General features: G+C 40.4%; 1 protein-coding gene and 1 long non-coding RNA gene across 2 annotated transcripts in view; one reads left to right on the forward strand and one right to left on the reverse strand.

The window, feature by feature from the left end:
• Positions 1 to 13698, forward strand: part of CNTNAP2 (contactin associated protein 2) — a 2304198-nt gene extending 2290500 nt beyond the window's left edge. The window contains exons 23-24 of the mRNA NM_014141.6: positions 2091 to 2171; positions 8117 to 13698. Coding sequence (NP_054860.1) covers positions 2091 to 2171; positions 8117 to 8316 — 281 coding nt within the window. The 3' untranslated portion in view covers positions 8317 to 13698. The remainder of the gene's footprint in view (positions 1 to 2090; positions 2172 to 8116) is intronic.
• LOC105375554 (uncharacterized) overlaps positions 1 to 13941 on the reverse strand; it is a 55130-nt gene that overhangs the window by 25663 nt on the left and 15526 nt on the right. The window lies entirely within an intron of this gene.

The raw sequence follows: 13941 nt of genomic DNA on the forward strand, positions 1-13941 counted from the left end.
CAGAAAATCCTGAAGGGAAATGGGAAAGTGAGCTGATGAGAAAGTAGCTGACTACACTGTACTACATGTTGGCTCTCCCCATTTCCCTGCCTAGCTAACTGGATTTAGGATTGGACCAATTGGCCGGGCATGGTGGCTCACACCTGTAATCCCAGCACTTTGAAAGGCCAAGGTGGGAGGATCGTTTGAGCCCAGGAATTCAAGACCAGCTTGGGCAACATAGGGAAACCCCATCTCTACAAAAAATAAAAAAATTTGCCAGGTGTGATAGTGCATGGCTGTGGTCCCAGCTACTCAGGAGTCTGAGGCAGGAGGAACACTTGAGCCTGGGAGGTCCAGGCTGCAGTGAGCCATGATTGTGCCACTGCACTCCAGCCTGGTCAACACAGCAAGACCAAATCTTAAAAAAAAAAAAAAAAAAAAAAGGATTGAGCCAGTTAAAACAAGCAAAAACCATCAGTGGTCTCTTTTGCATCCCCCAGTTAAAGACTTGGGGAATATGAAATCCTTGAATACCCAAGAGTTAAGTTCACTTTCATTTGTAGCTTGCTTAGTGTCTGTGCTTTTACTCAGTCAACTGATAGTTGAGATAATTTGGAATATATATACGTATCTATCTAAAAAGTATAATTTTCCTGGTCCTAAACAAGAATATCAAGTCTGGCCAGGTGCAGTGGCTCATGCCTGTAATTGCAGCATTTTGGGAGGCCAGGGTGAGTGGATAACTTGAGATCAGGAGTTTGAGACCAGGCTGGCTAACATGGTGAAACCCTGTCTCTACTAAAAATACAAAAATTAGCCAGGCATGGTGGCAGGTGCCTGTAATCCCAGCTACTTGGGAGGCTGAGGCAGGAGAAACACCTGAGCCTGCAAGGCAGCAGTTGCAGCAAGCCAAGATCACACCACTGCACTCACTCCAGCCTGGACAACAGAGTGAGACCCTTTCCCCACACTGCCCCCGCCCCACACACACACAAAAAAAGAATATCAAGTCTAAAAGAGAAAGGATTAAATCACATGTGTTGAAAGAATCTGGAATCTCCCTTTTTGGTTGCCATATTTCCAAGAGAAGAGGAGGAAAAAGGGCTCTACCTGCTTTTCATCATTATCCCGGATAATCTTGGAAGTCCATAGCCCAGGAATAAATTAGTGTTAGAAAACGGAGTATGTAGCAATGTTCTCCCTGAATCATAACATAAACCTGTTTGCCTGGTGTGTACACATTTCATTGTACCAAATAAGTACTTCTAAATTCTTTTTACATTTAACTGGTGCCATCCAGTAGCCAGAGCTTGCTTTAGACTAAGGTGACCTGCTTCTGTTGGAAGATTTACCTTAACTTCTCCAACAGAAGACCAACAAATGTGAATTGTTTCTGAAGTTGGATTAGGTCCTATGGATGACAGAAGATAGTCTGCCGACTTGCAGATGGACTTCGGGATCTATTTGCCTTTACCGGGCTTAAAATTTGTTTTATCTTAGAGAAATACCTAAATTTAACACAACTGATTCTTACGTTTATAATAGGGAAAGAAATAGAAAATTCACTAGGCAGTTAATATTCTTAACTGTTTTGAATTATTACCCCCTTACAAATTCCTAAAGTGTGCCAGTGTCTTATTACAGCCATGAAAAATACAAGTTTAAAGGAATGATTCCTTTTTAAACTTTTTAATACTGTAGCTGTAAAAAGCTCATCTACAAATACATTGAATGCCACCAGTTGTGCATGGGGTTAAAAGTGGATGGGAAGCAGATTTCAACCAAATGTAAGAAACATATTCAAATGCATAAACTCGTCTGTCTGTGGAACTAGAGCAGGCCAGCTCAGGTAGCTCTAGGATTCTCTAATATTGCTCCAAGTGGGAAGTCGTGTTTACCTAGGCCTTGTGCAAAGAGAAACAGCAGGAACAGGGATGGAGGCTGTTGTGATTCTTGTGGGAGACAATGGCAAGACGGGTCCATCTGAAATGGAGATTTCATTTGGGAAAACAGGAAGTGTTGAAGAGTTGCATGAAGAAATAGGTATCAAATTATTTGGGATCAATAGTATACTTGACTCTGACACTTGACTCTTTCTTTCTCTACAGCCAGTGCGGATTTTCCATATAATCCAGGACAAGGCCAAGCTATAAGAAATGGAGTCAACAGAAACTCGGCTATCATTGGAGGTAGGTGATGTCTAGAGGAGGCTTATATGGGGCTACTCAACTATGGAAAGTAATAGTTGTCAATAACATAGTAGTCTAGGAAAAAAAGTTTTCTAGGTTTTTACATTATTCATTTTGCTGTTTAAAGATTATGACATATGATGTGAAGAAATATAGTAAATATAGCCGGGCACAGTGGCTCACCTCTGTTATCCTAGCACTTTGGGAGGCCGAGGTGGGCAGATCACCTGAGGTCAGGAATTCGAGACCAGCCTAGCCAACATGGCAAAACCCCATATCTACTAAAAATACAAAAATTAGCTGGGCGCGGTGGCTCACGCCTGTAATCCCAGCACTTTGGGAGGCCGAGGCGGGCGGATCACAAGGTCAGGAGATCGAGACCATCTTGGCTAACACGGTGAAACCCCGTCTCTACTAAAAATACAAAAAATTAGCCGGGCGCAGTGGCGGGCGCCTGTAGTCCCAGCTACTCAGGAGGCTGAGGCAGGAGAATGGCGTGAACCTGGGAGGCGGAGCTTGCAGTGAGCCAAGATTGTGCCACTGCAATCCGGCCTGGGCTAAAGAGCGGGACTCCGTCTCAAAAAAAAAAAAAAAAAAGAAAGAAAGAAAGAATATAGTAAATGTAACCTGGCTACTTTTTAATGCTGGCTTGTAAAAAACAAATAGCAGTGGAAAGCTGGACAGACTCAGAATAATTAAGTAGGTAGTAGTGACCATAGCCAGGACATTTCTTTATCCCCCTCGGATATTTTTCAGTCTTATCCTTTCGCATCCAAAATGGTCCAGGATAGCGTACTATAAAAAAATGAAAAGGAATGCTGGGTGCAGTGACTTACGCCTGTAATCCCAGCACTTCGGGAGGCCGAGGCAGGTGGATCATTTGAGGTCAGGAGTTCAAGACCAGCCTGGCCAACATGGTGAAACCCCATCTCTAAAAATACAAAAGTTAGCCAGGCGTGGTGGCGCATTCCTGTAATCCCAGCTACTCGGGAGCCTGAGACAAGAGAATTGCTTGAGCCTGGGAGGTAGAGGTTGCAGTGAGCTGAGATCACACCACTGTACTCCAGTCTAGGTGACAGATTGAGACCTTTCTCAAAAAAAAAAAAAAAAAAAAAATACGAAAAGGGAAATGCCAGTCTGATTTCAGTTATCATAATAAAAATTATCAGAAAATCACTGGAGGTCATTATTTTAAGTGAAATAAGCTAGGCACAAAAAGACAAATATTGCATATTCTCACTGATACACAGGAGCTAAAAGATTTACACACATGGAGGTAGAAAGAAAAACACGTAACAGAGATTGGGAAAGTTGAGCAGGAGGAGGAAGGAGAATGAAGAGAAGTGGGTTACAGGGTGCAAACATACAGTAAGAAAGATAAAAGGAACAAGTTCCGGGTTTGCTAGCAGGGTAGGATGACTATATCTAACAAAAATGTACTGTACTTGGTTGATGAACCCCTAAATACTATGACTTGACCACTATTCCTTATATACGTGTAACAAATTTTCTCATGTACCCCGTAAATTTGCACAATGAAAATAATAAAAACTAAAAATGTATCAGAAGATTTAACAAGCTGTAGCATCTAAAATATTCCAGTGTTTTCTTCTCACCATGGACAGCTACATAATAATTTGACTCTCCTCGGATAGCCACTGAGCCTCATGCGTAGATCGATATTGACATCCCTGTTACCATTAAGATCCCAATCCTCACTGTCTTTTGCTTTTTTAAATGAACTTAATTGAAGTATAATACGCATCTATAAGTGTAACAAGTCCGTAACTTTTATTTATTATTATTTTTTGAGACAGAGTCTCACTTTCTGTTGCCCAGGCTGGAGTGCAGTGGCGTGATCTCAGTTCACTGCAATCTCTGCCTCCCGGGTTCAAGCGATTCTCCTGCTTCAGCCTCCTGAGTAGCTGGAACTACAGGCACGCATCACCATGCCTGGCTAATTTTTGTATTTTTAGTAGAGACAGGATTGTACCATGTTGGCCAGGCTGGTCTCCAACTCCTGACCTCAAGTGATCCACTCGCCTCAGCCTCCCAAAGTGCTGGGATTATAGGTGTGAGCCACCGTGCCCGGCCCCAATCTTTTTTATAGTTTGTGGTTGGTTTGTCCTATCTAAAAAGTCTGCCTACCCAAAGGTTTTGAAGATTTTCAGCTTTCTTCTAGAAGTTGTATCACTTTATCATTTGCCATCAGGTCTTTAATCACTTCGAGTTAATGTTTATAAATGGTGTGAGAGAAGAGTCAACGTCAGTATTTTCCAAATGAATATCTAGTCATTCCAAGACCATTTGTTGAAAAAAAAAAAACTATACTTTTCCTCAATTGAATTTTCTTGGCACTTTTGTTAAAGCAACTGACATATGTGTGTGTGTGTGTGTGTGTCTATTTTCTGGGCTTTTTGTTTTGTTGGTCTATATATATCTTTCCTTAGCCAATATCATGCTTGCTTTATTGTTGTATCTTTTTTTGTTGAGATGGGAGTCTTGCTTTGTTGCCAGGCTGGAGTACAGTGGCGCGATCTCGGCTCATGCAACCTCCGACTCCCTGGCTCAAGCGATTCTCCTGCCTCAACCTCCCGAGTAGCTGGGATTACAGGCACGCACCACCATGTCCAGCTAATTTTTGTATTTTAGTAGAGACAGGGTTTCACCATGTTGGCCAGGATGGTCTCAATCTCCTGACCTTGTGATCCACCCACCTCGGCCTGCAAAACTGGTAGGATTACAGGTGTGAGCCATCGCTCCCGGCCTGTTGTATCTTTATACTAAGTCTTGAAATAAACAATGTAAGTTCTCTAATCCTGGCCAGGCGCGGTGGCGCACGCCTGTAATCCCAGCACTTTGAGAGGCCAAGACAGGTTCATTAGAACATCTTAACGATATTTAGTATTTCTATCTTTACATGGTGTATCTATACGTTTATTTGTCTCATCAGTTTCTCTCAGCAACGTATTGTGGTTTTCAATGCGAAGTCTTGAACAGCTTACTATTTCATTAATTTCATTTTCTAAGTGTCTCTCTCTGGCATATAAAAGTATAATTGATCTTTTATATCAGCCTTGCCTTCTGTGACCTTGCTAAATTTGCTGTTAGTTCTAATAACTTTTTTTGTATATTCCTCAGAATTGTCTACCTAGACAAGCATTTTATCTGAGAATAATGAGATTTTTTTACTTGTTTCTTTCCAGTCTATATCCTTTTGTTGTTTCATTGCACCGGGTAGGATTTTCAGTACAAAAGTGAATAAATATTGAGATTTGACAATTTTGCATTGTTCCCTATGTTAGGGGAATGTGTTTGATCTTTCACTATGAAATAGGATATTGGCCGTAGGTTTCCAACAGATGTCCTTTATCAGATTGAGAAAGTTTCTTCTACTCATAGTTTACTGAAAGCTGTTTGATGAATGGGTATTGGAAGTTTTCCAAATGCTTTTTCCACATCTATTTAGATGATCATATTGTTTTACTCCTTATTTGCTTAATGTGGTAAATCACATTGCTTTATTTTTTAATGTTAAACCAAACTTGCATTCCTAGGATTAACATTATCATAATACATGATCTTTTTTACATATTGCTGGGTTTGATTTGCTAAAATTCTATTTAAAAGAATATTGTGGCCAGGCGTAGCAGCTCACGCCTATAATCCCAGCACTTTGGGAGGCCGAGGCAGGTGGATTACCTGAGGTCAGGAGTTCAGGACCAGCCTAGCCAACACAGTGAAACCCCGTCTCTACTAAAAATATAAAAATCAGCTGGGCGTACTGGTGGGCGCCTGTAAGCCCAGCTACTCGGGAGGCTGAGACAGGAGAATTGCTTGAACCTGGGAGGCTGAGGTTACAGTAAGCCCAGATCGTGCCATTGCACTCCAGCCTGGGCAACAAGAGTGAAACTCCGTCTCAAAAAAAAAATATATATATATATATATATATATATATATATATATATATATATATTGCTCCATAGTTTTCTTGTAACATTTTTCTGGTTTTAGTGTCAGGATAATGCTGGTCTCATAAAATGAATTGAGTAGTGTTTTCTCCTCCTATATTTTAAGAAAGATGTGTAGGATTGGTCTAATATCATTAGGTAATGCTTGTTAGTAGTATTGTTCGAGTCTTTTAAATTTTTGCTGATTTTCTGTTCAATTGTTCTATCAGTTACTGACAGAACAGTGTTAAAAAATCTCCAACTATAATTGCAAATTGGTCTAATTGTCCTACCAGTTCTGCCCGTTTTTGCTTCATTTATTTTGTACTTAGGTTAGATTTATACACATTAGGAACATTATGTCTTCCTGATGAATTCACCCTTTTGTCATTATGAAATGTTCTTCATTTCTACTAACAACCTTGTCCTTTGTCTCATATTAACGTAGCTATTCCAGCTTATGATTATTGTTTGCATATCTTTTCCCACCCTTTTACTGTTGACCTGTATTTAAAGTTCATGTCTTGTAGATATCATATAGTAGGCATCTTTTTTATCCACTGTCTCTACTTTTTAATTGGAGTGTTTAGATCAGTTATATTTACTTCTGTTTTATCTAATCTGTATTATTTCATCCAGTATTTTTTTCTTTTTCCATTTTTTTTTTTTAGACAGAGTCCCCCCCCCCCCCCTCACACAAGCTGGAGTGCAGTGGCACGATCTTGGCTCACTGCAGCCTCCGCCTCCCAGGTTCAAGCGATTCTCACGCCTCAGCATCTTGGCTAGCTGGGATCACAGGAGCGTGCCACCATGCCTGGCTGATTTTTGTACTTTTAGTATAAAAGACCGGGTTTCACCATGTTGCCCAGGCTGGTCTTAAACTCCTGACCTCAAGTAATCCGCCCGCCTCAGCCTCCCAAAGTGCTGGGATTACAGGCGCGAGCCACTGCTCATTTCAGACATTGTGTGTTTCACCTCTACAAGTTCCACGTTGTCTCATTTTTTTTCCCCTCATTTTGATCATGTTTTCCTTTAAACCCCTGTGCAGGTTTCTAATAGCTATTGTACTGTCCTCATCTGCTCATTCCATGCTCTGTCCTTTCTGTTTCTAATAGCTATTGTACTGTCCTCATCTGCTCATTCCATGCTCTGTCCTTTCTGGCTCTCCTTCTAATTGACTGATGTTTCTTCTGGTCAAGTGACATTTTGCTACATTTTTTTTCTCTGAATTATTTTTCTCTGCAGCTTGACGTTATTTAGATGTGTTTTAAAGCTTTTTCAGGACAGAGCTAGAGTAGTCTTTATTCTAGGCCTATTTTAGCAAACACCTTCAGCATGACCATTCTATCAACTGTATTAAATGCTCTGATTGTTCAATGAGGTCTCTTCAGTGTGGTTGTTGGACTATAAACATCTCCCAGCCCTCCGTGAGCTCTGGTTTTTTGCCTGGCCTGTGGACTTTTATTCTGTACATGCACATGTTAGTATTATTCGGCCACAAATTCAGAGAGACTTATGTGCAGATTATTAGGGTTCTTTCTATACATAGCTCTCTCGCGCGCCCACTCTATCTCCCCTCTCCATTCAGGGAAACCACTGTGCTTTCTTGTGCTGCCCCTCCCTACACTGCTGTCCAAAAATCGCTGCCAGCCAGAAAACTAGGAAAAATGTAGGATTCCTCCTTTTTGTTTCTCTGTTCTCAGACATCATGGTTCCTTTCTGCCTGTTTTCTAATGTCTGTAGACTGTCATTTCATAGACTGTGTCCAGTATTTTAGTTACTTTTGGCTGGAAGACAAGTTACTCCTGTTTTTCCTGTTACTCCTTCATGGACAAAAACAGACATCTTACTTCATTTTTGTTATCTTTGTTGTTTTGGAGGTTGTGTTTTATATGGGAGAGGGCTGTGTCTGACGGAGCTGTAGTGAAGTGGGGACAGTGTTGGAGGGACTCCCAAGCCCTGTCTAACCTCTCGTGCTTCTCCTTTCTCCGTCAGGCGTCATTGCTGTGGTGATTTTCACCATCCTGTGCACCCTGGTCTTCCTGATCCGGTACATGTTCCGCCACAAGGGCACCTACCATACCAACGAAGCAAAGGGGGCGGAGTCGGCAGAGAGCGCGGACGCCGCCATCATGAACAACGACCCCAACTTCACAGAGACCATTGATGAAAGCAAAAAGGAATGGCTCATTTGAGGGGTGGCTACTTGGCTATGGGATAGGGAGGAGGGAATTACTAGGGAGGAGAGAAAGGGACAAAAGCACCCTGCTTCATACTCTTGAGCACATCCTTAAAATATCAGCACAAGTTGGGGGAGGCAGGCAATGGAATATAATGGAATATTCTTGAGACTGATCACAAAAAAAAAAACCTTTTTAATATTTCTTTATAGCTGAGTTTTCCCTTCTGTATCAAAACAAAATAATACAAAAAATGCTTTTAGAGTTTAAGCAATGGTTGAAATTTGTAGGTACTATCTGTCTTATTTTGTGTGTGTTTAGAGGTGTTCTAAAGACCCGTGGTAACAGGGCAAGTTTTCTACGTTTTTAAGAGCCCTTAGAACGTGGGTATTTTTTTTCTTGAGAAAAGCTAATGCACCTACAGATGGCCCCCAACATTCTCTTCCTTTTGCTTCTAGTCAACCTTAATGGGCTGTTACAGAAACTAGTTCGTGTTTATATACTATTTCCTTTGATGTCCTATAAGTCGGAAAAGAAAGGGGCAAAGAGAACCTATTATTTGCCAGTTTTTAAGCAGAGCTCAATCTATGCCAGCTCTCTGGCATCTGGGGTTCCTGACTGATACCAGCAGTTGAAGGAAGAGAGTGCATGGCACCTGGTGTGTAACGACACAATCAGCACAACTGGAGAGAGGCATTAAAGAACCAGGGAAGGTAGTTTGATTTTTCATTGAATTCTACAAGCTAATATTGTTCCACGTATGTAGTCTTAGACCAATAGCTGTAACTATCAGCTGCAATACCATGGTGACCAGCTGTTACAAAAGATTTTTTCCTGTTTTATCTGAAACATACTGGATTTATATATGTATAAGCGCCTCAATGGGGAATTAGAGCCAGATGTTATGATTTGTTTGCTCTTTTTCTTTTATAGTTTAGTTATAGCAAAAATATGGATAATTTCTAGTGAATGCATAAATTAGGTTGCGTTTCTTATTTTGCTTTAAATCTCTGGTAGTTTTTCCACCCCTGTGACACAATCCTAATAGACAGTGTCCTGTAAATGGACACAACACAATAAAGTCAAGTTATTATTGCTGTTACTCTGGATGATATGGAAAACACTGCCATATTTTAAATCAACTACTCCACGTGTTTTTCCATCCAATCACACTGCTGTGATTCAGGGATCTTTCTTCTAAGACGGACACATTTGAACCTCAGGTTCATCACAAACCTGGTACCTGTTGCTTCCCAGAGGATGGAGAAGTGTAGTTAATCACACCTCTTAGTTTAATCTGAAATCTTGACCCAGTTATTTAACAAATAAATACCTCATTGATTATATTTAAAAGTAATACACTTCCTGTAAACAAATGGGGACAATGCATCCAAAAAATCTTTTTAAACAGATTACACAAAAATTATTTCCAGAAAGGCTACCATTTATCATCATTATATTTCAAGCCTCTTATACTTAATAAGCACTTTCTAAAAAGTCTTGAGATCCCACCATTCTGAGGAATTCAATATGATCACTTTTTCCTTCTTTGCCTGGGAGAGGTTAAGAGGAGGTTTCGAAGGTATAGATGCTATTGTTCTGATGGCCCGGCTGAATAAAATGGAAATTCTAGTTTGTTAGAATTATGCATTCTTTTTCAAGATTCTCAGTGTGCCTAACTTATTGGAGCACATCAGTTTCTTGGGTAATGGAAAACATTACCTAGAGTTGCCAGTGGCACATTACACCAGTACAGAGCACATTCCAAAGGAGACATTGGACCAGTTAATTCCCATACAAGTCAAGGTAACAGAACAAAAGGGAATCCTGATGCCCTTTTACCATTGCTGGTTGAGCTCAGGCACTGTCATGGACACCCTTAATTTTAAAAGGTTTTAATCATTCTTCTATAAAATACATTTAAAATGGAAAAATACTTAATATCACTAAATATCAGAACAATGTAACATTTACAAATGACATATTGAAAGCAAAGGCTGTTTTATTTAGCCAAGATGATTACCATTAGGAGTTACTTTATGTATTGTTGAAAGCAAATTTTAAACATGATGTTTTAGAAGTGTTTCTGATTTTTAAACCTGGTTTACAGGTATTACTTCTGCACTTACCAAATAATGCCAGATGGAAATTTATTATTTCTTGCAATTCCCATGATAGCTCTGTTCTTTATGCATTGTCTCAACACTTTCCCTTTTTTCCCAAAATGAGTAGAGAATTAAAGCCACCCAAAACAGCTTCTGCTACTAAAATGTTCTCATCCTTTCTCCTCCCTCTCCTTTTCCTGCCACAAAAGGTGAAAAATGAGATCCAATCCTCTCACCAAAATTTCAAACCTAGGACACTGGAATGACTGCAGGGATCAGTGGTTCTCCCATATCACCATCAATTAAGACATATAGGACACTGTCTTCCTTCAAGAGGGTTACAATGTGGCCATCAGACAGGAAACCAAACGGTGGATAAAGTATTAAGTAACTAAGTGCCAAATAAATGCTGGAAATCTTGACCTCTCCTTGGGATTATGGGTGTAACAAAAATCCCTACATCTGTTTATGAAGGCCATATTCAGTACATTTTAAATGGTAAATAATCTGTTTATGTGAAGAAAAAGAATTAAGTCTTTCTTCCAACTCTCTCCTTGGATAGCCTAGCACAGTGCAGCCTCCATAACCATGACATTCCCGCCCAAGCTCTCAGTGCCTAATCCTGCTTTGTCATTCACATCTCACAAAATCTTGACATCTTACATTCCAATACATTATCAAGCAAGCACAAGTATGCTGGTAGTAGCCTCTTTAAATAATATGTATAGACAACAACAACGACAAAAAATAGACTGTTTTAAAGTTTCAGGGAAAGTTGGTGGCTGATTTAAAGTTGTGCAGGAAACATCTTCTGTGTATGAAGCAAATGTCGATGTTTTGAAAAAAGCTAGGAGATGACTTTGAATGAATGCAAGGTTAGTGAGATCCTAAGCTCTCAAAATAGCATATTCCCTAGAGCTCAAGAAAGCTGGTCCAGGAGGTTGAAAAAGCTATTTTGTTGTTAAATTATTTTCTGGCCCTTCTTAATATTTAAAAATGTATTTCCCCTTGTGGCTTTCAACCACCTGCTCAAAAAAAGAGACTTGTTACATGAAAGTTTTCATTAAAGAGCTGAAAACAAGAATTTAGAGAGCCATTCCTAGAAAATGTCCTACTGCCCTGCATTTGACAAACAAGCATCCTTTACTAACAAGAGCAGGAATTCAGAGGCACAAGAAAAAGCATTGGCATGAGCCAAAGAGTCTGTCTTAATGTTACTTTTGAAAATCTGCTGAGCGGCCACCATATGCAGGCTGAGAGCTGGGCACAGGCGAAGCCATTGGAAGCACTTCAGGAACAAGCACACAGCTGTGGGACTTGAACATGCAAGTGTTCAGGTTGTGTCAAGAAGCTTTTCTTTCCTTCTATGATGGAATCTGTTCTTTTCTATCCTACTTTTTTCTCTCTTCCTCTCCTCACCACATTATACCCTGCTCTTACGCAGTAAACGTTTTAATGGCCCGTTTATGTCTCATGCCTCCAAACAACACTGAATTTGAAACCCCCCATTTTTTCTTTTCACCACCCTGTTGAGCAATTTTCCCAAAAAAAGGGCAGCAATTATTAAATTGAATTCAAGTAAGCCAGCCAAAGATAGGTCCTAAATTGCTAGTCCCAGTAGAACCACCTGATCCTAAACCAGTGCGAAACAAACAGTAACAATGTCCCCAGCTGACTTCAGCTAAGAACCAATGGCTCCTACCCCCGCCCCGCTTTTTTTTGTTGTTTTTTGTTTTGTTTTGAGACGGAGTCTTGCTCTGTCCCCCAGGCTGGAGTGCACTGGCGCAATCTCGGGCTCACTGCAACCTCCTCCTCCTCCCACATTGAGGCGATTCTCCTGCCTCAGCCTCCCAAGTAGCTGGGATTACAGGCACCCGCCATCACACCCAGCTAATTTTTTTTTTTTTTTGTATTATTAGTAGAAGCCAGGTTTCACCATGTTGGCCAGGGTGGTCTCGAACTCCTGACCTCAAGTGATCCGTCCACCTCGGCCTTGCAAATTGCTGGGATTACAGGTGTGAGCCACCGTGCCGAGCCAGCCCCATTTTTTAAATGATGTTTTGGTTAAGAGTGGACCATGAGAATTAGCTGACAGCATCCCCTTTCTCTCTCCCTGCCTTGGTGGGACCCTCCCTGTGTGACCTTGGTCAAGTCCTCGAACTTTTGTCCCGTATTTAAGATGGAGCTGTTTTACCTACTTCATAAGACAGTTGCGAGGTGCCATTGATTCTTGACTGCAAAATACCTTGAAACCCTTATATAAAGACTGAAGTCAACGGAGCCTAGTGAAAGACTTACTTTGTGGCTTGTGGTTGAAAGTCACATCAAAAGACAAATGTGGCCACGTTCAGGAATTGGAGACTTACTGGCATGGCTCTACAGCTGCTCAGTTATTAATCATGCAGACTAACCTGTCAACACTGGGAGATGCAACATAGCAAAAGGACAGAGAAATTAGAATTTTTTGTGCAGAAAGCCCTAAATTCCCACCTGAATGTAACTTACAGCTCCCTTACCTACTCTCACACATGCCCTCAAACATGCTAGATTGGCTTATACATAGGCCAACACAAAATACAAACGTGACGTGTTCATGTAGCCTAGTGGCTATATGCCTATTCTCCATGTACCCTGCATGGTAGTGCTGCAAACTTTAAAGTACATTTCTTTCACAGCAGTATTTTTTTTCATAAGTGGCATATAAATGTCATTCAATGAAATGGGGAAATCACGTTGAGAAGTTGGTCTGTCATCTCCCATTGAGCAAAGACTGGCAGGAGATAATAAAAATAAATATGGGCACACATGTATTAATATACAGCACGCATTTACAAGTTTATTTTCCAGATAAAATTGTGCTATAAGAACAGCTCTACCAAGACAGTCTGCACCATTTCCAAGTCTCAGTTAATTTACAGCAACTGCTGCTTTCGGAGATGGCTGTGAAAATATGGAAGTTCCTCTCAAGTAGGCCAAGAAACAGTTCTAGATTTTACTAAGTTTTATTTTGTCAGGTTTTTTAAATTTTTTCAGTGAGCGTGGTGACTGCAGAGGTTAGTGCTGTGAAAAGCTGGGCTAAATATTCTTTCTGTAAAGTCAAACAGGATTCCATCCCCTGTGAAATAACACAAAATTTCACTCTCTAAAAGCAACAGCATGTAAACTAGAATGAAAGAAGGAAATTATGTACGTATGCCTAATATTCTTTGTGAATGTCTTTCATTTAACTAAAATTATATTAGAAACCAGATTGATAAATAAAAAATTCAAAGTAGTTTTAATTATCCTAAAAGCGATTCTTCGTGTTTTGTACCACTTGTCTCTCTTAAGAGCAATTTTCAACCTTCAGCAAAAGTTAAGTTCCAAGCACTGAAATATAAGCCTACTGAGAATATCGTCTTTCCACAAGTTGTGGAGATATAGTCACTCCTAAAAGGTCTGATTTGGGTACGTCCATGGTTAACCTCCTACCACAAATAGCTCCCCGTTAAAAGAGGAGTTTTTCTTAAAGTGGCTTAGTAGACATTGACTTTGG

Source organism: Homo sapiens, chromosome 7, assembly GCF_000001405.40.
Source record: "Homo sapiens chromosome 7, GRCh38.p14 Primary Assembly".
NCBI classification, from domain to species: domain Eukaryota; kingdom Metazoa; phylum Chordata; class Mammalia; order Primates; family Hominidae; genus Homo; species Homo sapiens.